General features: G+C 45.0%; 1 protein-coding gene across 8 annotated transcripts in view, besides 1 other annotated feature; it reads right to left on the reverse strand.

The window, feature by feature from the left end:
• The window catches only part of RCAN1 (regulator of calcineurin 1), a 98,672-nt gene continuing 74,338 nt past the window's right edge, over window positions 421-24,754 (reverse strand). For 3 of the 8 annotated variants that reach the window (NM_004414.7, NM_203417.2, NM_001285389.2), the window contains exons 2-4: window positions 7,516-7,689; window positions 5,478-5,637; window positions 421-2,235 (exon numbers count right to left, since the gene is read on the reverse strand). In NM_004414.7, coding sequence (NP_004405.3) covers window positions 2,063-2,235; window positions 5,478-5,637; window positions 7,516-7,689 — 507 coding nt within the window. In that variant the 3' untranslated portion in view covers window positions 421-2,062. Of the gene's footprint in view, window positions 2,236-5,049; window positions 5,638-7,515; window positions 7,690-8,505; window positions 8,617-9,066; window positions 9,447-10,641; window positions 10,802-24,754 lie in introns of those variants that run through there. The other 5 variants (NM_203418.3, NM_001285392.2, NM_001285391.2 and 2 more) reach the window with 5 other exon arrangements.
• Window positions 18,710-18,939: an enhancer, noted in NCBI's record as "active region_18395". NCBI's record gives its function as "activates an Ori minimal core promoter by ATAC-STARR-seq in GM12878 lymphoblastoid cells {active_cell/tissue: GM12878}" and the evidence as "EXISTENCE:reporter gene assay evidence [ECO:0000049][PMID:35858748]".

Here is a 24,754-nt window from a genome sequence, read left to right on the forward strand (position 1 = left end):
TTTGTGGGCTTCCCAGGAAGGTCACCACCATTTGAAATGAGACTTTCAGGGGAAAAGCTGCCAGAGATTAAACAGAAGGCTTACAGATGCATCTTCTGAAGATAACTTAGTATCTTCCATGGACATCTTTTCTAATAGAAAAGAAAGCTCTTCAAATGACCAAAACCATTGCTGTTTTGTGGAGGTGCTGGTGAACAGGGGTTTCATCACAGTAGCATCTACCTGTACAAACGAAATACTCGAAGTTCTGATTTCAGTTTTATCCATTTTCTTCTTTTGCAAGTGATGCATTCTTAGTGTGGTGGACTCTCCATGAACCACAGCACAGAATTAGGAGTTTCTAAGCTCAAATTGACAAAGGATGTCTCCTTCTGAATTTAAAATGTTTAAAAAGGTTTAAAAGCCTTTTAAACTGCAGAATTTAGAAGGTTCACAGATTTATTCTAGAAATAAAATGACAACTTTTCTGTAAGGAGCATACTGTGCCCATTTATTATAGAATGCAGTTAAAAAAAATATTTTGAGGTTAGCCTCTCCAGTTTAAAAGCACTTAACAAGAAACACTTGGACAGCGATGCAATGGTCTCTCCCAAACCGGCTCCCTCTTACCAAGTACCGTAAACAGGGTTTGAGAACGTTCAATCAATTTCTTGATATGAACAATCAAAGCATTTAATGCAAACATATTTGCTTCTCAAAGAATAAAACCATCTTCCAAATTTCCAAAGCATGCATTGTTACTTGGCATTAAGTATTTCAAAATGACAAACATTGTTACGGTATTGTAAGGCCAAAATATAATACCTATTTACCAGACATACACATTACAACTAGAAAAAAATTACAAATGTTAACCTAGTATAACAATTCCATCAGGAATGAATGGGGAAAGGCACTGCATCCCTCTCATATCGCCACAGATCTACTATCCACTTGACATGCTTTGAATTCAAGTCCTGTTAGACATGGGAACAGCTTTTCCTACAACATATGATTCACAGGTAGGTTAATACATCTTAGTCTCCCACTGCCATACTTTTCACCCAAGTGTACAACAGGTATGAATATATGCTATCAGCTTTATTTACAAGTGTATCTTGATGTCTTCGTGGGGTAAAAGAACCAACTATCTCAACCAACAGTTTCCAAAAAAGTTTTTGGCTATGATTCATGTATAGAAACCACCACATAAAAGAAACAACAGAAACTGAGGTCCGATCCCAAACACCTAAACTAAAATTTCTCACCCACTAAAAGTTGGCAGTGAAACTGCTATTCTCTGAATTGTATAAGCTAAATTCTACAGAGGAATTTCAGATCAACTTCTTTTGCAAAAGCACAAGTTACACGTTGCACGGTTGGGGATGCTGAGTGAATGCATTCCAGGAAGAGTTCCGCAAGCAAGTGCTGTTGCAAAGAGTCGAGAATCCGAGAATCTGGGAAAGGTGATACGTTTTCCAAACGCTTTCCTGGCTTCCCAAAAGATGTAAAACAACAACGGTGTAACTTTATATACGAACAAAGGTTAGTCTTGTAAATCAGTAATATACATGCACAAACATGAGAACATGAGGGAAGAAAGGAAACGCTACAATTTCCACATTGCATTGCTGCTGTTTTCACAACCTCTCTGCACTAGGCGGCTTCCTGTGGTACCTCTTCCTACCAGTAGAGAGTGGCCCCTGCAGGCCACTTAGAAACAGGAAGCTCTCTCCTGAGCTCACTGATCAACCTGCCCTTGGCACAGACAGAACCTACCAGAAAAGAACAAGTACAAAACACTATCATTATCTGTTTTCTCAAGACAGTCCCAAATGTCCTTGTGCGATCACCACAAACTCAGTGATTGGCCCAAGTCATTCCCGGGTGCCATGAACAGTAACTGGTGTGCAGCATTAGAACAAGGGGACACGGCCTTGATTCTCTTCTGAGCAACATGAACTGGGATTTCTGCCACCCCGATCTCGGCTGCCACCTCCGAAGAAGTCGTGACCAGCCACCTCCACAGTAAAAGATTCCTCCCGTGAGTATGATTTGGAATGCGTCCTCGTCGCGTGCCAGTTCAGCTGAGGTGGATCGGCGTGTACTCCGGCCTCCTGGTCTGGATAATTTTTGGCTTAGGTCTCCTCATTCTTTCCATTTCCTCTTCTTCCTCCTTCTCTTGATCACTCTCACATACATGGACCACCACGCTGGGAGTGGTGTCAGTCGCTGCGTGCAATTCATACTTTTCCCCTAAGGAGGGAAAATAATCGCAGGGTCACTCAGACAAGTCCTTGGGAGTCAAAAGGCAAACATAAAAGAGCATTCAGGGCTCTGCTGGGCCAGCTGCTCGTGACCATTCGATTGGGCTGAGAGACACAGCCAGACATATTTTGGGTTTGTATTTCTTTGCTAGCTCATTCAGAAAAAGAGAGATTTCCATTGTGCATGACTCTGTTTTTAGTCAAACATTCTGGGAGTCCAGGCACATGAGAAGTATAGAAGGAATGCATTTTTCTAGTTATACTTCACATGTCCACCAGATATCTAAACTACCCAGAGAACTCCCTTTCTGTCAGCATTTCCTCAAGTGTGAATGTGAGAAACTTCGGTTCAGGAAAAAGATGGATGAAGAAACGTATTTGGAAACAGAACCCTGGGCCTCCCTCATGCAGCTCCTATTTGAGGGTCGCAGTGCACGCCCAGGAAGGGCGCCACAGGAGGCCCTGCAGCAGACGCAGGGGTGGCTGCACGGAGCCAGGTGCTCTGGAAACGTTTTTGACCTGGGCATCTTTTCCTTAGAACAACTTCTAATCCCCGGGACCAGGAGTGTCCTGCTGTTCTATGTCAGCCTGAGTTCTACCAGGTTGGCCAAGTTCAGGCCACTCTGGTCCAGCAAGGGTGGGGAGAGCTTTCTGCAACTGAAAAACCCGGCAATGTAGAATGAAGGGACTGGGGCCTCCCGCTGGGGTGCCGCTCTGGCCACGGGAAGAGTGTGCATCTCTGGTGCTCATGAAGGCAGCTCTGAGCCTGGCTCCTTAGTACCCAGGGCTCATGGGCACTTTATTCTGCTTCCCTGTGCACCTCAGTTCCCTCCTCAGTAAAGGAGACGGTAAAGGTATTGACTTCATGGAGCTAACAGCATGAGTGAGTGCCCGAGGCAATGAGAACCCGGCTCACCACATGCTTGTCCAGCCCATGTCACCTAGAAAGATGTTTAAGAATGGAGACTGCATCGTTATTGGTGCCCTGCTGGGCAGGGATCTGAAATAGGGGCAGGAGGTTTGCTTCAACCTGCTCCACCCACAGGGTGTGGCCTCATGGTCAGTTTTCTTCCAGGGCTTTGTGCTTGGGATTTCTTTTCTTTTCTTTTTTCTTTTTCTTTCTTTCTTTCTTTTTTTTTTTTTTTTTTTTGAGACAGAGTCTTGCCTGTTGCCCAGGCTGGAATGCAGTGACAAGATCTCGGCTCAGTGCAACCTCCGCCTCCCAGGTTCAAGTGATTCTCCTGCCTCAGCCTCCCAAGTAGCTGGGACTACAGGCGCATGCCATCATACTCAGCTAATTTTTGTATTTTTAGTAGAGACGAGGTTTCACCATGTTGGCCAGGATGGTCTTGATCTCCTGACCTCGTGATCCGCCTGCCTCAGCCTTCCAAAGTGCTGGGATTACAGGCATGAGCCACCGCGCCCGGCCTGTGCTTGGGATTTCTTTGCAGTTCGGGTAAGCGAGGAGGCACCGCACCAACCACTGTGTGATTTCCGCCCGACAAGAGCGGCCCAGGAGAGCTTCCTACCTCCAGCCACACTGGTTACTCCTCTAAACCTGGAAGGTACTTTTACTGATAAGGAAGGTGGTGATCTTTTCTCTATCACATGTGGGACTGGAATGTTATTATAACTGCACTGAAAAAGGCAAAGGAGCTCAGCTCTCTGAGAGAGAGAATTCAGGCATGGGAGGTCAGATGGATTGCTGAAAATGCTGGTTAAGAGCCTCTTACAAATCTACCTCTTTGCAAGTCTCTTATCTACCTACTAATCATCGAAAATCCAGAAAGCTCAGGGTTTAGGACCATAATTTGCAAAATCTCCGCAATCCTGTTGGTTGAAAAGCACAGGTGAAATATGAAATCTCACTCAAGCTCACTGTTAAGTGAACCAAGGACAAACTGATTTTATTACGTCTATTTCCTAAAAAGCCTTCTCCAATAAGCCCTCGGTGAAGGAAGTGGTATATTCTGGAGTATGCAGAATTTTTATTAACAGCATTTGCCTCTGGAACTGTGGACACCTCTTTGCAAGTGGAGACCCTGTTTTCTCCCATTCCTAACCTAGGGGAAGACTCCACACCCTCAGCCATGCTCATGCCCCCGGGCCAGGAGCTGCTGTGGGGGGAGCACACGCTTCCTCAAAATGGCCATTTCTGATCTTGACCTTCACGCCACAATTAGCAGTAAGTAATGTGAGTCTTGCTTTATCCCACAGAGGGAATTTCCGTTTGGACAATGTTTTCAGAAATGTAATCTTTTCAATATGAAACTGCTGATGGACCAAGAAAACAAAACCCTCAACCCAAGGGAACATCAGATTGCTGGTCAAGGAGAAATGAGGAGCTGACGGTCTCAGCATTTATTTGACTTGCTCCACGGACAGAGCAGGAGAAGGCTCAAACCTCTTCACCCCAAGACTCTCCCTCACACCTGCCTCCTCACCCAAACCCTAGAGGACAGGACAGGAACCACCAACATTTTATGGTTTTCAAAAATCCTGCATTGAACACTGACTGTGAGCCAGGTGCTGATGGAAGTGCCTTTCACTCGATGATCTCATCTACTGCTCACAATTCCACCAGTTAAGGCCCACATTTTGGACAAAGAGCCTGAGGAACCTACCCCCTCCCCGCAGTGCTCACACTTTTGTCCCTCCAGAGGACGGGAACTTCCTCTTTCTTTAGCAAGCTCTGTAGGGGACCAGCCCACAGGCCCTGGGGTAGGGCAGCCCGACCGCGGCCCTTCCCTCACCATGGCCTATGGTTCTCCTTCCCTTTTCCTTTAAGAAGGCCAGGTGAGAATCACAGGAAAGGGAGAATTTATTTTGATTAAAAATAACATTTCTTAAAGGGGGCATCGATTTTCCCTTTCCAAAGTCCAATCACTCATCCCTATCCGGAGCGACAGAACCTGGGGCCGGGGCTCAGGCCTCCCACGCAGGCTGTGCTCAGTGGACACAGGAATGGATTCCTGGGACACTGCGGGGGGTGGAGGGGCGTGATGCAGGGTCCCCACGATCAGCCGCAGTCTCTCTAACACTGCAGGTGGTGCCAAGAGGCAGGCATGCTCCCAGCACAAGGGACGGTGGCGCAGAAGAATACAGAGAAGCTCACAAAACATGCCGGCATGGGCTCAGGAGAGCTACGGGGGTAGTGGTGGTACTGCTCCCTGGTGCAGGGCAGCAGCTGTGTCTCCCCCTGCCTCCCTCCCACCCGAGGGCCCTGCTCACCTGGCCCCAGCTTGGAGATGGCATATAAGAGATCATAGTTTATGACTGGGGTCGCATCTTCCACTTGTTTCCATCCCACTGGCGGAGAGGCGGGAGGGGAGATCAGAAACTGCTTGTCTGGATTTGGCGGAGCCAGGTGTGAGCTTCCTATGTGTAAGGTCTGAGGAGAGAAAATAAGCACAGGTCAGTTGTTGCCAGGGAAGAACTGCAGTGAGGCAACAGCACCTAACGCCAGTTCCGGGAGATGGGCAGGTCAATGTCCAGGCGTCAGGACAGGTGTGATTCCAGGACCAATTGTAAGATGGTCTGTAATGGGGAGGGCAAAAGGACATATGAACTCTGGTTGTGGCACAGATAGGATGACAGCCCCCTCCCAGGGCTATGGGAGTCACAGGCACAGGGACTGCAAATAATTACGCTTGACCTAGATGGACAGAAAATCAGCAGAGGTGACTTTAGTATATATGGAAATTTAAGTCACTGTCATTGAGGTCAGGAGGGCTCTTGGAATCAGTCTCTCCCCGCTCCTCATACCACAGAGGCAAGCTCTGAAAGTCCAAAGCCTAGGCCACAGTTCTGAGAGGACACAGCTTCTCAGGGACAGGGAGCCAGGGCTCCACCTGCCCCTAGGGTTCCCCACCCAGCAGCAGCTCTGCACCTCCCTCTCCGGGACTCTGGATCAGATGCCAGAAAAAAAAAAAAAAGCCACTTCCCAGGAGACTTTAAGAAATAAGAATAAGGAACAATAACCTACGATCCTAGTTTGGTTTTAGAAATGCTGACCAGTGATGAGAGGGCTGTCCATAGAGCTCTTACATCTCAAGCTGCGCGGTGTAGGTTTTCTCTGCACTTCCAGATTGCCCTCCCCAAGTTTTCACAATGAATATGCATTGTTTTACAAACAGAAAAGGTCAGAGGAGTACTAAGTAATTATTTGCATAAAATCTTATCCCGTGCAGAAAGGAGTGTACTCACACAGGAAGGCCTAGGCACCCAAGGTCAAAGCTCAGCCTGTGCCTCCCAGGGCAAAAAGGTCAGGGGTGGGGCGGGGATCCCAAATGCTTTATTTATACTTGAAGGGCCCAGCAAGTTCGCTGTCCTCACTTTGAGGAAGAAAAGACACTTTGGCTCTCTGGCGTGGTGTCAGATGAGCTTCCTCCCACTGGGGGAGGCCTTTGGACAGGGTCCTCTCCCATCCCAGCAAGGTATGTGTGTATGTGTGTGTGTGGTGGGGGCGGGTTGGGGGGGTGCTCAGAGCCTGAGGGGGACTTGCTTTACTGAGGAGCTGGCTGCATTCTAGAAGCTCCTCTCTTCTTCCCTGACAATCTGTCAGCCCCTAAGGACATCAAATGGAACTCTGGGAGCTGCCTTGAAGGTGGGTCACCTGTCCTAAGTTCCCCAGAGGAGGGTCAAAATGGTAGTGGGCAGGAGAAAAGGCAAGCCCAACCCCAGCTACCCCTCTCCCTGCCGTGGGTGCCCTGGGGCTGGGAACCCTGCCAACCAGAGGGTTTCTTAGCATCTGCGCCCAGTCTGGTTATCCCCTATTTTCCTTTCAAGCCAGACCTGGCAGTCCTGGGCTGATTTGCAGGCATCTTCTGCAGACTCCTGTTTCTCTGCTGAGTACCCCCAGCACCACATGAGCAGGGAACCACTCTGGTCTGCTCAGTCTAGAGTGGGTCATGAGCTCCAACCCTTGAGCAAATTCATGGAAACCTGCTGCGCAAACCTTAGGGTGTTTGCATAGCCACGCCTACCCCGCTGCACCCTGCAAGCTCCCCAGTGAACAGGGAAGGCTTTCTTTCCCCCATCATTATCAACCCAGGAAGGTCAGGGGCAATGTCTGAGGTTGCTTTCAAATGCACCTTGATATCTTCTTAAAACAAGTGAGACGCTGAACATTCAGAGTAGGAATTTTGTCTTTCTCAAGGTGAAGTCTCAGAGTTTCCGGTCAGCATATAACATAAGCAACGTATAAGCTGCTTTACAAAAGGGAGGGAGGGAGGAGGGAGAAGCATGCATAGCAATGAACCCAACTCACCTGAGCAAAATATAACTTCATTTCCTTTCCCAGAAACTCAGTCTTATGCAGCTGGAGCCTGGCATCTGCTGCGGAGAAGGGGTTGCTGAAGTTTATTCTGACTCGTTTGAAGCTCTTAAAATACTGAAAGGTGATGTCCTTGTCATACGTCCTAAAGAGGGACTCAAATTTGGCCTGAAAAATAACAATAAAAATAAAAGGAGTTGAAATTTACCTGCATATGACCCTTGACTAGATGATGTCATTACTTTTTTTTTTTTCTTCGAGACAGAGTCTTGCTCTGTCACCCAGGCTGGAGTGCAGTGGTGCAGTTTTGGCTCACTGCAACCTCCACCTCCCAGGTTCAAGTGATTCTCCTGCCTCAGCCTCCCGAGTAGCTGGGGTTACAGGTGCCTGCCAGCACACCTGGCTAATTTTTGTATTTTTAGTAGAGACGGGGCTTTGCCATGTTGGCAAGGCTGGTCTCAAGCTCCTGTCCTCAGGTGATCCCTCGGCCTCCCAAAGTGCTGGGATTACAGGCATGAGCCACCGTGCCTGGCCTCCTCAATACATTTTTTACTGAGGAAGTGGATCATCAATCCTTTCAAGAACTCCTAACTTCTTTCTTAGAGAAAAGCCTTTCCCCTCTTAGGGGACTATGGCCTTTAGTCCCAATGCAGGTGATTTTACAAGAAGGTAAGAAGGTATGATTTATTACATTCATCGAATCAGCAGAACAGTTGCCAATACATAGACACTACTTACGGTAACAAACTTTTTTAAAAAGTAGAATGAGCATTTTCCAGGGAGGTACAGTTTGGTAATTTGCTCCCCATGTTTCTCTGTCCTATGGCCTTCCCCCACTCACCCCCCCTTTTTTCTCTGTCCTATAGCCTTCCCCGGCTAGCCAACTCCAACCCCACCGTTCAGCTCAGGGCAGTGTTGCATATATCAAAGATTTCTTTAAGGCTTAAAAGAACTGCAGCTAATTTGAAAAAAAGAAATACTGACTTGAAAAATAACAAAGTTGGTAGAAAGTTTTGCATTTCTTAAAATAAGTAGTTTTTAAAAATTTCCACGATCGCTTTTATCTCAGTCTGTTACTTTTTAACTCTCTAAAATGATACTGGTTTAAAAATTAATGTTCTGCAAATGGACCATTTTCTGCATCCTGGCTTTCGTGTCTGTGCACACCTCGCTCTGGTGCCATAGGGCTAGTGAGAATTAGGAGATGTCCTGAGCTCTTAGAATGCAAAGCTCGAGGTGGGGGATTACAAGCTTAGGTTGCTCAGGGGACAGCCCCCTAGGCTGGGTCCTGGAGTGTGGCTGTCGGTGGGGGCAGCTGGGGGCCACTGCAACTCCTCAGAGAGGGAGTTTAACTGGTGGACAGTCAAAGCTCCAAGGAAGACTGCATGGGCTTCTAGTCGCCGGGTTTTGTGAATCTTTTTACCAGGCAAAAACACTTAGGACAGTTTGTGGGAGCCCGTGTGAAAGGCAGAAGGGGCTGGCCAGGAAGAAGGGGATGGCGCAGGGTGTGGATGGTAGGCAGCGCGGACAGAGCTCACTGAGGACCTTGGAGAACCTATGGAAGGCGCAGTGTCTCTGCAGTGGGAGCGAGGATTCAGGATAAGAGAGGAGAGTGTCTTCAGGAATGTTCACTGCTAGCAAGCGCGGGGAGGCACTGGTGGATGCCTGCTCCACATGGGGCTGCGGGTAGGAGCAGGGTAGTCGGTCCCTGCCAGGCAGGTCGTTAAGGAGCAGTCGGAACAACCTACGACCTTGCTCTCCTTGCATTCCCCGGCTTTTCTTCAGTTTAGGGACATTTCTGAGACTTTCCCACGAGGGATCCCGCAGAGGCACGTGCGAAGGAACGCGGAGCTGGCGGACGGTAGAGTTCATCTGGCCGCCTCTCACTCTTTTTCCCCACCTCTCTTGAGCACGGGCAAGTTTCTGGCAAAAGTGTGTCTTCGTACATTTGGAATTTTGTATGACCTCATCAATAGGCACTGTGACCCACTGTTTAGTTTTGAAGTTATGATTCAGAATTTGGGAGAGATGACTTTGAAGAATATTTTTAGAATACAGGTTCAGGGCTTAGGACCAGAACAAAAGAGAATTCACATTATCTTTAAAATCTAGATTACTATGATGCCTTTCTCTTATAAAAGAATCTTATTTGTTCTAATAACTGATACCTAGTTATTATAGCTTTTGGATGGCATCTCTACTTCATTTAAAAAATAGTGATTTTACTCACATAAGGCTCATGTTAAGTGAACTCACTTTGTAGTACTTTAAAAACATAGAATGTGCTCTGCAATCTAGTCCAAACACTATGGTGCGAGCCCATAAGCATTATATACAATTATGGAGTTACATTTGATTTTTTTTAAAAAAAGAAACCTTCGCATGTCCCAATATGGCTTTGGATATAAAGCATATAACACCACCAGGCACAAATACCACCCCTCAAATAGAGCATACAGGATTCATTCCTATACAGTATTATTAAAGCTCAATTAGCCGGATAGCTGCTGATGAAAAAACTTACATTTTAATCAAATGAAGAAGAAAAGTGTAGTGATTAAAATGATTATATTAATCACCATCAAAGAGAGCTGCTGCCCAGGAGGCACACTGATCTCACACTTAATTTCTCCAGTTTTATTATTTGCTCTGGCGGCATTTTCTCTTGTTAGAGAAATCTGGGAGCTTGAGGCCAGGCCCTCATAATTACTACAAACATACAAATATCTTTATAACATTTATTTCCTAAGACGAAATGAAATTATTCACAACGCTGGCTACAAAAGTAAAACACTATTCACTGTCAGAAGAGGCCTCTTTCTGAAAAGTTCACTTACAACATACACAGAATGAAAAACACACGATGCCCCAACTCTCGCCTTCCTAGTGAGTTGGTTCAGGGGCCTGGATGTTGTCAAATATTGAGATCTTTAGAAATTCCTTCCTCAGTTAATTCCTCAGGCAACAGCTTTTGATTTTCAAGGCTCGAAAGACTTTGGATTTCTTTCAAAACCCCCAAACCCACAAGAGAGCCACATTCTCCCAAGTATTCAGTTAATAGTCCCAGTTAGCATAATGCTTTGAAAACTAAAGAAAATCACGTTATATTAGAAGCCTTACCCTGGTTTCACTTTCGCTGAAGATATCACTGTTTGCCACACAGGCAATCAGGGAGCTAAAACTGTAGTTAAAGTTTCTAAAATGCATCTTGCTTTCTTACAGTGAAAGCGCTACAGACCCACGCAGTCAAGCCCCTAGTGAGATTCCTTTCCAAGAGGCTGTAGGTTCCTTCTTGAGCTGGTGCTTATAAAGCAGTAAGGGCCAGCCCCCACTCCCTGGGGAAAAAAAAAGTGCAGCTTCCACAGCATCCTGTTTGGACAGCAAATTCCTGAGTCAAGTCCTGCATGCTTGCAGGCAGACAGGGACAAAGTGTAAGTTTCTACTGGAAAGAGGTGACGTCAACACCTTAGTCATTTTCCCTATGCTAATTAACTTTGCTTGGGGAGAATGGAAAAAACAGCTGAGGTTTGCTTCACAGCTGCTTTATCAACCTCTCTTGCAGCATAGTTTCCACTGGTAGTAATTCCATTCAGCTACTCAGACAACACGCTCCTCGGCCGAATGGGACGACCCTTCTTAAGATGGAAAATGTTACAAAAGAAAAAGGATGAAGGTCTGTGGCAATAAACAGCAATTAGACTGTAGGGAAATTTCAAGGCTTTGGGAAACCTGGAAACCAAAGTCCGGGTGACATACTTGATCCCTGGAATTTCCTGAAAACCTCAATCAAAGTTTCACTTTGGGGTATTAGAGAAAACATTTTGAAATCTGTCTTGGTCAATAAAAATTTTAAAGGACAAAAAGAGGAATCATTTTGAAGTGTAGTTAAAATTTTTTTCCCCAGTGACATTTTATTGGATGAATGTCCCAATTTCTACTTGTATCCCACAGTGGAATGGAGCAAACAGAACCTAAAACAATCCTAGGATTTTCATTTGAAAACTTCATTATTATAATTTGAGAACTGGGGATATGAAACACTTCGATCATTTTCAAAGCACTACTGAATTCAGGCAAAGGATACAAAAACACTAGCCTTTGAAACTGAGCAATCTAGCCTTTGAAACTGAGCAAAGAAGCATTAACCCATTTATGCCAGAGGTTGCAATTTTTTGAATTTTTGCCATCAGACCTTGGCAATGACCTTGAGCAATAGGATATAAATAACTCCCACATGCTTAGCGTTCCAATAATGGAACACTAGGCATAAATGGGTTAAGAGGTCCTGCTTAAAGACTCATAAACTAAATGTAAAAAAAAAAAAAAAAAGGAAAGGAAGAAGAAATGGAAAGAATGTACACTATAATTGAAAGGGAAGATGCAGGGAAGATGCCTGGTTTGGAGAAGTGCTCTGCGATGCAAGACTGACTCTAGTTCTTTCAAAAGGTTGCAACTCTTGAACCTTCTAAGTATTTTACCAGTTTAGATCCCTATGGCAGCCTGGGTCCTATGTTCTTCTCACTCTCTCCAATTTTATTATCACCTAAAAGCACTCAAGTTATTTAAGCATTCTCTGATTTAGGGGCACACAGGGACAGCTCTCAAGCTTCCAGAAGTTAAATGGAATCCTGCCATTCACATTTAAAAATTAACTTCAAAGAATCATTAAAGTCAGCCAATAATTTAAAATACATGCAAGAGGAAGAAACAAAGCAGGGCATTTAGCCTTCCAAAAAAGGAAAAGCAAAGTCCTTTTGGATGAGTGAGTGTTGCTTAATTTCAACGCACTGTGCCTTGCTGCCAACTGTAGAGTTATGTAAGAAACCAGTTATGGTGTTTGCTTTGCCAAATTATCCATAACTCCCAACCTGAAAAGACATAAACGCATGTATTCCAAAAAAGTGTAGAATACTGAACAATGCAACATGCATCAAACACCAAGGGGAAGTGGTCATCCTGGATGATGCTTCGAGAGGGAATGTGTATGCTTGCAGTCCTGCATTTTCAGTACAGGGAGCCTTTGTCTGTCCAGCAGGCACATGAAGATTGTGGTGGTGGGCAGGAGAGGCTAAGGGGAAACAGAGGTGAGGGGAGCAGACACAGTCCTGCATTCCACTCCTCCAGAGGGGCTTGGAACTTCTCTGATGTTCCCTCCCCCTCTCCAACTCTTTGTCTCCCCCTTTTCTCTTCTCCTGGCATGCACCTGGGCAAATTCCATTAAAAGGTGATCAGAAGAGACAGAAGAGGCTAATTTAGACACAAGAGGCTGATTTCACTGTCTTCTTTTCTCTTTTAAAATCATGACACAAAGTTCCAGCTCAATTTTGTGGGCAAATCTCAAACATCTCTGTTCATCTGAGACAACAGTGTGGGCTCACCCGAATATACAATTTTGATTTCGTTATATGGATGGAAAAAAAAAAAAAGAACGGTGAGGTATTTGAAGATTATTCAACTGTCTTTGCTCATAGAAATGATAAATCTTTCACTAGATTGCCCAAAAACATGTAATTCTATATCTGCCTTTGAATTGATCGGTTCTATCTATCTGAATTGAATTTAGTAAACTTGAGCACTTCCATTTTTAGATCAGGAGTAAGAGCCGGTCAAAATGGTGGCTGCCACTTTGTAGGGAGACTGGAATGCATGTTCTCTGGCAAAAAAATCACTGGTTCACAAATTGTACCAGAGCCCTGGATCAGGGGGAGGGCACTTAGGATCTGCCACCTTGGTTTTCCTTGGCTAAAATGTGAGAGGTATGGAGCAGATTTGAGTTTCCAAAGTGCGTCTTGCTGAGTAGCAGGAATCCTTAGTGGCACTTGGACACTCTGGTTGGCCAACAGGGCAAAGCACAGGGTTTCCTGGGACACCTGTCCCTGTACCCATAGGGTAAGACTGCCTTATGCTCATATCAATGCCTCCTCATCTGCTTATCTGACAATTCTTGCTAAGAGAGTCTGTCTTTGACTGCATGTCTATTATACGTGAACTTGCATTTCTAAAGGTCCTATGCAAATGAATTTACTTTATAAATAGTGATTCTCCCCACTGAGAATAAAAACGGATCCAAAGCAAGTATTTAAAAAGCTGACTTTCCTACTTGTATATTCCTTGTGGTTTTGGAGGCAAGTATATTCCTGATTCTTGCTTGCTGGTTGGATGTCAGTGATCTGAAGAAAGCAGAGCAAGACCCACAGCAAGACCTCTGATATGGTTGGGCTGTGTCCCCACCAAAATCTCAACTTGAATTGTATCTCCCAGAATTCCCACATATTGTGGGAGGGACCCAGGGGGAGGTAATTGAATCATGGGGGGCCAGTCTTTCCTGTGCTATTCTCGTGATAGTGAATAAGTCTCACGAGATCTGATGGGTTTATCAGGGGTTTTCACTTTTGCTTTCTCATCATTTTCCCTTGCTGCCGCCATGTAAGAAGTGTCTTTCACCTCCCGCCGTGATTCTGAGGCCTCCCCAGCCATGTGGAACTGTAAGTCCAATTAAACCTCTTTTTCTTCCCAGTCTTGGGTATGTCTTGTCTTTATCAGCAGTGTGAAAACGGACTAATATAGTCTCATTAGAGCTCTTGAGAAGCATTCTAAAACCTGCACTCAACATGATAAAACTGAACCCAGAAGTTAAAGTAAATGAATGTTTTAGTCAACTGAGAGCTTTAGAAGTTTTGCATTTCTTCCACTCACACCATAAAAATCATAAATGAGTCTTTTTAACCTGCATTTGCCTCCTCTGGCTCCAAACAGTTTCCATTAGGAAGTTTCCATTTTCAGTGAGGAAAAATTAAGGTTTATGATGAATTCCATCATTCCCATTACAGCATTCTGAAAGCATCATTAGGATGACTTCAGCACATCCATTATGAACTCTAAGGAGTTGACAACTGCACCAAGAATGTGCCCCCTGTGAAGCTGTCTGCAACATGAACTGACCAAAGACAGAAACTGAGTTTTGACTTCCAACACTGAGCAAAAAATGAGGCAACTTGCAAAGGCTCTCTTGTGAATGAAAATGATGACAGTTACATTTTATTTCAGTTTTTTGCTTCTAAGATAGTGAAATAGTTTTTTTTTTTTTTTTTTTTTTTTTTTGAGACAGTTTTGCTCTTGTCGCCCAGGCCGGAGTGCAATGGCGTGATCTTGGCTCACTGCAACCTCTGCCTCCTGGGTTCAAGCGATTCTCCTGCCTCAGCCTCCCAAGTAGTTGGGATTACAGGCGCCTGCCACCACGCCCAGCTAATTTTTGTATTTTTAGTAGAGATGGGGTTTCACCATGTTGGTCAGGCTGGTCTCAAACTCCTGACCTCGTGATCCACCCGCCTCGGCCTCCCAAAGTGGTAAAGTAGTTTTACTGTTACTTCACATGTGTAACCATTCCCTATAGAATGTGGAGCATTGTTCCCCAGCCTAAGTTACTACACAAAAACAAAACAAAACAAAAAACAACCCCACAAGGGTTTGCTCTCTTCCTCATCTTTACCACTTTGTGGTCTAAAAGGCATTATTAACTAAGGAGAAGGTTCTTATTCTCAACTTTTAAGAGGGATTAATATCAAATTCAGAGTTGTGGAGAGGATTCATCTAGTGATGGTGGCAAAGTGCCTAGCACAATGCCTGAAACACAGGTGGCGGCTAAAGCACATCAGTTGCCTTTCTATTTCCGATTTCATCGATAAAGATATTGAGGTTCAGAGTGGCACACACTATGTTTAGGAGAGCCGGAACTCACTCTGGGCTTTTCATTGCAGATTCCACGCTTGTTCCAAGGAACTATGCCCGCCTTGGGCCAATGCCCTGTGGTACTGTAGCTCATTTCCCCATCTCTCTGGGTGGTCCAGGGCACCTTGGATGTCCTCCTATGTGCCCTGCAGGTCCACAGAAAGTCCTGTAGGTTCTCTATCCCATCCTTCACCGTGCATAGTGCTGCAGGTAGGCAGCCCTCAGCAACTGTAATATCTTCCCAACTGGCCTCGCTTGGCCTGTGTCTTACCACTCCAACATAATGTGCAAGTCTGACACATAAAAATCCCTGATGCTGACCAAGCTCGGTCACGTTCCTCTCCCGCTGTATAAGCTTCAGTGATAAGCACTGTTCCTGCTGTAGCCCAGGCAGACTGTTCAAGGTCGTCTTGTGTCTTTCTTGTCACATATCCTGCCAGTGCTGCTCTCACTTTTATGTTCCTCCAAGACAAATGGCTTATATGCCTCAAAACACACTCCCCTCTTCTCTTCCCCAAGTCTCTGCTCGTGCTCTCCCTCTCCCTGGATTATTCCTCCTTTCTCCCCTTTCCTTTCCTTCCTTAAGATTGAGTGCAGGCATGTCGTTCTCCAGGAAGCCAACAATGACCCCCCGTGTTAAAAAAATATTATTCAATGATGCCTGCTGAAGCCCGACAAGGCAGACTTTATTCAGGACCACCACGATGGGTATAGAGACCACCACAACCAGGTCTTGCAGTGGGGGCTGGGGGCGGGGGTAGATTGAGCTCAACTCCGAATACAGCATGGCCAAGAAGCAGTGTCAGGGTCAGTGGTGGAAAATTACTAAGAGGAGGCATCGGGGTAAAGAGGACTCTGGCTAAGCTGACCTAATAGGATTCTTGCTGAAGACAGGCCCGGGTGATCAGACATCACCTGACGGATGGTAGAAGATGAAGAACCCAATCAGATATTAAGGGTGGGGGGGTTCCTGTTAAACTGACTTTGCGGGGTTCTTTGCTAAAACTGGGTTTTATAAGGAAGTGCACAGGTGAGCCTAGGAAAAGGTTCAGAAACCTGACCCAAATTTGGCCAAGCAAAAAATGTTTGTCACCCCAAACCCACTCATACCCTTGTCCAAGGTTTGTTAAGCACTCTCCAAACTTCCTACGTCTGTCTCCAGCACCGTGCTCACTTCAGTAGGTGACCACCTATGTGATGACACCCTGGTTCTAAACGGTGAACCTCCTGACGGCTTGAGCCACATCTTATTCCACTTGATAGTCCTGGTGCTGGTACAAAATAGTCTCTCAAAAATGCCAGCTAAAGAAACAAACTGATGTCTTTCTTCCTGTCACTGTCATCCACTGCTTCTACTTTGATCACATAGAACTAAAAACTAGTTCCTCTTTGACACAAGAGTCATTCATACATTTGACGACAGATGTCATCTCATTCACATATCCATTCATTTGATCAGCAAATACTGAATAGCCTTTTACATGATAGATATGATTGTAGATACTCTAGAAAAGAATAGATAAATGAAGTGTAAACCCTGCCACTAAGATGAGTAGAACTTTGGATAGTTTTCCTGGATCTTACTTTCGAACATTGCAAATTCCAACCCCCCACTGCCCACCTTATCAGTCTCATTTAAACAAATATTTTTAAAATTTGATAATACAGTCATATGATAAAAAACAAAATAAACTTTTTTTTTTTTTTTGAGACGGAGTCTTGCTCTGTCGCCCAGGCTGGAGTGCAGTGGCACTATCTCGGCTCACTGCAAGCTCCGCCTCCCGGGTTCACGCCATTCTCCTGCCTCAGCCTCCCGAGTAGCTGGGACTACAGGTGCCCGCCACCACGCCCGGCTAATTTTTTGTATTTTTAGTAGAGATGGGGTTTCACCGTGTTAGCCAGGATGGTCTTGATCTCCTGACCTCATGATCTGCCTGCGTTGGCCTCCCAAAGTGCTGGGATTACAGGCGTGAGCCACCGCGCCAGGCCCAAAATATACTTAAATAGGATACACTGAGAAAGCTTTTCCTACCTCTGTCCCTGTCCACTCCATTCTCACTCTGCCTGTTAGGTGTAACCTCATTTTTTTAAACCATTTTTATTATTTTGGGGTTTTTTTAATCAAATAAAAGCAATTATGATTTTATTTCCCCCACTTTAAGTAAATAAAAGGTAACATGCTATATTTAAACAAAACAAACCTTCAATGACTTCCCTTTGCTCCTGAAGTTGAACCTAAGCCTTCTGGTTCACATTCATTCACGCATCCCTCCATTTATTCATTCATTTGTCTAAACACTGTTCTAGGTACTAGGAATTCAAATATGAACAAAACAGACAAAACTCCCCGCCCTCTTGGAGCTTACATTCCAGATGGGGAAAAAAGACACAAAACAAGATAGATGGGTACAATCCACAGTATGTTTAGACAGCCTTGAGTGTGGGCAACAGAGCAGCGCGGAGGGGCAGAAAAGCTGGAAAAGTGGTGAAAGCAAGCCCGGCCAGGGAAGGCATCCTTGAGAAGGGGACATGCGAGTGCATGAGGACCTGAAGCAGGTAGGGGAGTGAACCGTTGGATGCTGGGGAACAGCATTCTGGCCCAGGGAACAGCAGGTGTGGAGGCCCTGAGGCAGGAGAATCTGGCATGCTGCAAGCCCAGCAAGGAGGCTCAGGGTGGCTGCGGAGGAGGGTCATGGAGAAAGTGGTTGGGAATGAGGACAAGAGAGACCTTTAGCCATTGGAAGGACCCTGGCTTGTATTCTACAGAAGTGGGAGCCATAAGGGGGTTTGAGCAAAGGTTAGCATGGTCTGTTATGACATGATTTCCATATTACAGAAGTACTCTGGTTTCTGTGTTCAGAATACAGCGAAGGGGCGAGGGGGAAGCAAGGTACCCATGAGGAGACAGCTGGGGTAGGCAGGGCAGTGGGAGCTTCTTCTCCAACCAGTGTCCATACCTCCTCCAGGGACCCCCTCTGCAGTACCCACTTTCTAAAGCTCCTCAGCCAGCTCCTCCCTGTCTCATTCCTGCCTGTTGAACTCTTGTTCATCCTTTAAAGCCTATCATTAAGTCCAATTCCTCCAGGAGCTCCCCCATCCCCCAACTAAGTGTTCTTTCCCACCTGTAACCTGGTGACTCCCACCTCCCGCTGTCACCATAGTCTGCTTGGCATCATAGTCATGTTGGGACTTGGCAATCTTCATACTACAACAAAAGCTTCATGAGGACAATGCAGCTTATTCTGCAGCTCCCCAGAGATGTAGACAAAAGCTTGTGCAAGTCAATGACACCAAAATTCGGAGAACTGCACCAGTGGGGGCTCATCTGATGCAAACCAAGAGCCAGAATTCACCAGGGCATCAAAAGGCCATGGCTTCTGGTGTGACAGACTGAAGGGCAGCCTTTGTCTGTGGTTTGAGCAAAGGCCAGGCCATTCATTGTGGTCACAGGAGGTGGTGTAGGGTTGTGATGACATTTCTCACAGGCCTCAGGGGAAGCACTGTGCTTGAGGGCCACATGTGTGCTCTGTGGGTGTCACATTCCCGGATGTGCTTCCTATGTCCTTGCTGTGGGGGGCCTAGCAGGATGCCAGGCACTGGCCCGCACCATCACATGGAGACTGGGAGGCCCGACCACATGGACACTGCTGAGGGCCAGGATTCTTCTTATGGGTACACTGCAGAGATCTCCAGCACCAACCCCATGACAAGAGGAAGAGCAGAGTCAATTGGATGCATGTCCACCTTAAGGACCTGTCTTTAGGGCATGTTTCATAAAGTATCCAGCATATAGGAGAATTTGTATAGAATTTACAAATAAAATGCTTTACTGGCAGATGTACTAAAAAATCTTCTACCAAGGAGGTTCATAATCCAAAACACTTGGAGACCATGTGTTTAAGCAATAGTGTGATTAAATTCCCAGTTTTCTTTAGGCTTTTTCATGATAAGCAAGTGTAAGAAAGAGAACAGAAGAACATTCTTCTTGATATAGTTAAAGGAATTTCTATTTTTGTTCACTTTTAGGGCAATCAGGAAATGGGCTCAGGAGTGTATTTCTCTTAGTATTGCTCTCTTACTGGTAAAATTTGCTTGGCCACAGGGAAGTGGTATAAAGCAAAACACATAACCTTTTTTTTTTTTGATGGGCTTTGAAGGTGTTAACCAGAATGCCCCGGAGAAAATACGGGAGGTGCTGGTTCTGCAACTACAGAGAATGACAACTAAGAATTCTAAATCTGAAATAATGAAATTGTTTAAAAAAACACTTTGAAGTTTAATGAGTATTAATTTTCTGTAAGAAAACACAATAACTGATATTAAACTTCAGCCAGGCACAGTTCTGATACTTTGAAAAAAAAATAAGAAACGCTGAAGTATCTTTTGATACTTTGCCTGAATTACTACAAGAGAGTTTACAAATATGTATTTCTGGGATAACACAGAACTTTTATTCCTTAGATAAAAAATCTGAGTGGCTGATTTATGCCAGTGACCAAAATGATGGCTGCAATTATGCCTGCTCTATATTCATGTTGTTAAAGGTGAAAATGCTAAAGACTTTTTTTTTAGCAGAATGGTGATCATGATCTGTTAACACAGTAGAAACAAAAAAAAAATCCAAGTATAAAGAAAAAAAAAAGAATAAAAAAGAAAAGAGAAAAATAAAATAATTGGGAAAAACAGGGAGGAAGAGTGTGTACAAATGTACATCTTAAGACTGAGGTCACAGTTCATACTAGATTTCATCTTGTTTGTTAAATTCCATGTGCGCTCAGAATTCCATTAACTCTTATTCCGTATTGCCTCAATCTTTCCTTAATATGTAAAGGTTAACCACCCCACTGTAACTTCTTGGAAACGCACTGCTTGCAATGTTTAAGATGAAAAAATAGCCACAGGCAAATCAAAACTCTACTTAATGACTTGGAGACCAGCAGATGAGGATTAGGGGAGGCAACATTTATTTGGAGATTACTGGGGCCAAAGCCACCCTAATTAATTACCCTTTATTTGTTCTCTCTTTCCAGAGCCACCTTGCTTTAATTACTGACTTTAATTTCTGCTTTGATGCCATTCTCAGCCAGGGGCACAGCACTGCAGCAGCAAAAACCTGGGGAAGAACAATCACCCAGGAGTGGGCTGGCTGTGGTCACTCAGGCCCAGGGAACACCAGTGTCTGGTTAGCCCTCATCCCTGCGCTAAGCAGCTTTCACAACCCCACGGCTGGTTCATTCTCAACAAGTCAGTCCTTCACACGCAAAGTAGGAATTCTACTTTCCAGGGTTAATGCTGCCTGGAAAACCTTTTCCTTCCGCTGCAGCATTCCATACTCTCCTTAGAGGAGATGATTCTCCCAGGGAGGCTGGCGCAGTGAGGGGTCCAGGCACACACCACGCCGGCACCTGGTGAATAGCTGGCTGAATGTCAGCGGAGGAGTAAAGGTGAGAGGGTCATGGAGGGAAGGGGAAAAAAATGAGCAAGATCAAAATCTGCAACTCTTCAATAAAGACAGAAAACCCAGTTCTGAATGGCTTCGCTAAAGATCGTTTGTATCCACACCCAGTTTCAAAACTCAAGAGGCAGGTCAGAAATGGTTTTCTGTTGTTGGTTTGTTTTTTCTTTTTCACCAAGTGCTGGGAGAAAAGTGAGTTATGTGCTCTTACCTGCTATTTCCATTACCATACACACACCCTGTTTCCATGTCTGCAGTTGAGAAGTCCCAACAGGGCACTGCAAACGCTTTCTTTCTGCATTTGGCCTGCATTCTTTGCTGATGACTTAAAAGCCTGATAACAAGTCACACGAGGAAGCATGTCCTGTCATCTTCATGAAGGTCACCAATGATTCAAAACATACTGAAGGAACAATAAACTACATACAAAGAACAAGCAAGACCCCACCACAACTTGGATATTATCTCTGTCCACCCAAAGAGAGAACAACTGTGCCAACCTGGTTCATCAGGAAAATCTAGGTGTTCCCGTCAAGTGACTAAAATGTGGGCACACATCTTTGCACCGAGTATCTGATTCCTAAGAGCTGTTCCCTTTCCATCAGGCCTAGAATGGCCCAGTTAGTTTTCTCCTGGTGAACTGTAGCCCATTAACATTGACGGAAAATTAGTTGTTAATATTGAAAAATTGGGAGGTGTCACACAGAAATAGAACTTCTGACTTCTTTTTGGTGGTGGTGGCCCGGGGAGATGTGGCCACCCTGGGCCCAGAGCTCCATTTCACTGTGGCCGAGCAGATGCCCCTTGTTGGGGAACCCATGCTCTTCAAATACCCCAGGCCTCATCACTGTCTGTGGTCTACTCGCCCCTCCACCAATGATGGCTGCTGGCTGACCAGCCCCCAGGGCATTTCAATTTGTGGCTTAATTTGGTAATTCATCAAAAACAGATTAGTCACCTGCTAGGGCCAGCCATGGTGTGAGGTGCCAGGCGTACAGGCAGAGAAGTTTACCCAGCTCTGGGGCTCAAGCTGTTCTATGCCTAACAATTTACACCGAATTATACATGGAGAGGGCATGGCCCTCACTCCCACATGGTAATTGTGTGTGTGTGTGTGTGTGTACTTATTTTTTCATCTGGCCCATGTATGGGCACATCACATTCCTATGGGTGACTCCCTGGGCATCTGTGAAATGTTGTCTCCCACTCCTGAAATTATGCTGTAAATGCCAGGGAATGGTGGTGACATGGTTATAGCGACGATCTTGATTCTGCTCAAACATAAACCACAGTTGGTTTCTTTAGCAATTATTAAGAAATGATTGGGCCATGTCAGAGGAAGACAGAGGAAGAATCTGAACTGTAATTCACTTACAGATTTCTACAGAATTAGCTCATGATTCATGGAGGCAAAAAAAGTTTTGTCAGGAATGGCATTCGAAGACACAGAAAAACAATTTGAAAGGAGCCTGAGGTCCAGGTGTTTTCAGAGTGTGGTCTTTAAGATAGTTTCTTAAAAGATCATTCGGAGAAGAGAGCATTTTAAACTGCTCTTGTACAAATCTATGGTACATTTTATTCCTTATGTTGAAAATGATGGGAAGATTGTGCCTGTTTCACCCATTTAAGAAACGCTCCCTGTTGGTCCAAGCCACCGTGGGCTCCTCCATCCTGAGGGAGGACACAGTGGCTCTACTGTCCTCTGTAGAGGTGAAATTATGTGGCACATACTGTGATCAACCACAGCTACTGCCAACTCCCCAGCCAATTCCCCATCCACTCCCCGCCATGGGTACTGGCCGCTTCCAGACTCTAAGACAGAGGTTCTTGCGCAGGGGAGGTTATTAGGACGAGTGGTGGGGAGGGGAAAGGAAACTGGGCAGAGGGAGAGTGAAGCTACCAAGTGGTCCTAGTGGAAGCCTAGCCGACTCTACAGGGAGCTTTGAGGATGAGACGACCCTTATCGGAGCAGGAGGACCGGGCCTTGATACCCCCACGTTGGTCAGTTCTGGGAAGGGGCTACCCTGAGAAGGGGGTGGAACTTGGGCAAGGTGGCTTTGCTCTGCCCCAACAGGGCTGACTGTCAAGGGAGGCTGGGAGACAAATTCTATTTTTCTGAAGTGACCTGGGGTGTGTCACTGTGACCAGTGCACCGACCAGCTAACCGACCAACCCGCAAGGCCCAAGCTCAAGGAATTAGAAGGCTCCAGACTTGCACCCTAAGTTAATCATCTGAAGTCTCAGAAATGTGACAGCCTTTAAACTGAACACTACAAAAATGCTGCTTATTCCACTCCAAATCATTAGCTCATCATCCATGTAAGGAGCTTCAAGAAGAATATCGGTAAGATTAGCGGTAAATTCAAACAGTTTAAACTTTCAGTATAAACCGCATCAACTCAAATCCCGAATACTGACTCAACAATTTCACTCCTAGGAATTTATTCTAAAGAAATCCTCATGGCTGTGGGCAAACATTAGATGCAAATATGTTCCTGCAAGGCAAATAAAATATGCAAAAATATAGTTTTATGTAAATAAAATACATCAAGATCCGTGATCAGATAATATACATGCTAAATTCATTCAGTAGACTATAGAGCCACTCATAGTAAGGTGGTGAAAACTAATGACATGAAAAGATGTTCAAGACTTGCTGTTAGGAGAAAAAACCAGGTTACAAAGCAATGTTTATTGTTCTCATTTTGGTGAAAAGAAAGAATATGTGTGATAGTATTAGAAGACTCCTGTGTTTTTCTTCTTGATTATTTGGATTTGGATTATTTAGATTCTAGCATGAATTTCCACAATGAACACTTATTACTTTTATAATAACAAAAAAGCTTCTCCTTTCCCCTTCCCTCACTAGATGCTATATATCAATGGTCAAGGTAACCGTGGTTAACAGACACAATATGTAAGGGTAAAGGTTAGTTGGAGAGAAAATCGACTTTGCCTGTTTTTGTGTAGTGGTTTGGTATCACGGCTTTTAATATTTGCTCTGTATCTGTTATGCACAATCTCTAAACCTGCTCATTTTAACCCATTAACATTTTGGAGTGCTAGTTATTGAAAGAATCCTATTTCATACCTAGAAACAGGGATTTCACCAGAAAATACTGATTTTGTCTTTCTTTGATTACCTCTCCTGCCTGCCATCTTTATCTGGTGAAATTCTCATTTAATCAGTAGTGTTGGCTGAGCCATTCTCACTGGAGTCAGGGCTGTCTGAGTGCCAGGGGACACTCATCTGAATTGTTTCTTGTCACTGCCATGTCCCTACATCTATTCCTTGCTCACCTGCATTATTTTCCCCATTCTTCTTGCAGTCCCAGAATCACATCCAAGCCCCTTTTCTTTCTCCCTGGATGACCCCTTCCTCTGAATCTCCTTTCTAACAAGACTGGAAGGTTACATAATAAACTTCTCCCCATTACAGCATTAATGATGACAGTTGTTTAATATATAAGGCCTTCCCAGAGAATTTGTATTTAATCAGCAAATTCTGGAGATCAGTCTGCATCTCAAAGGAATGCATTGCTAAGGGGAAAATTCCAGGCAGTAAGTCAGTTACAGGGGAAAATTCTCTGCACAGGTGGGCTCTTCCGGGGCTGGGTGCTGCCTACGTATTGTTCAAGCACCTACACTGAGCAGATTCTTGCATGGACTGACTGGGATTAAGGGCAGACTTCCAAGAAATCACTCATGTCTCCATTCATTCAACCACCATTTGTTAAAGATCTCCCACGTGACTTCTCGAACTCCTTGGCTGGGTAAAATTACCCCTAGTTCTTAGTATTTACCACACTTTAATTGATTTCCTTCACCGAACTAAGGGTAGACCAAGCCAGAGACCCTGGAACCCTTAAAACCCTTCATAAACATTTGTTGAACAAATGCATGCAGCCAAGTAACTGACTCTTCCTTAGAGATATAAAGATGAGGAAGGTATGGTTATTCCTTCAAAAAGCTCACAGTGGGCCAGGCGTGGTGGCTCACTCCTGTAATCCCAGCACTTTGGGAGGCCGAGGTGGGCAGATCATGAGGTCA

Source organism: Homo sapiens, chromosome 21, assembly GCF_000001405.40.
Source record: "Homo sapiens chromosome 21, GRCh38.p14 Primary Assembly".
Lineage (NCBI taxonomy): Eukaryota > Metazoa > Chordata > Mammalia > Primates > Hominidae > Homo > Homo sapiens.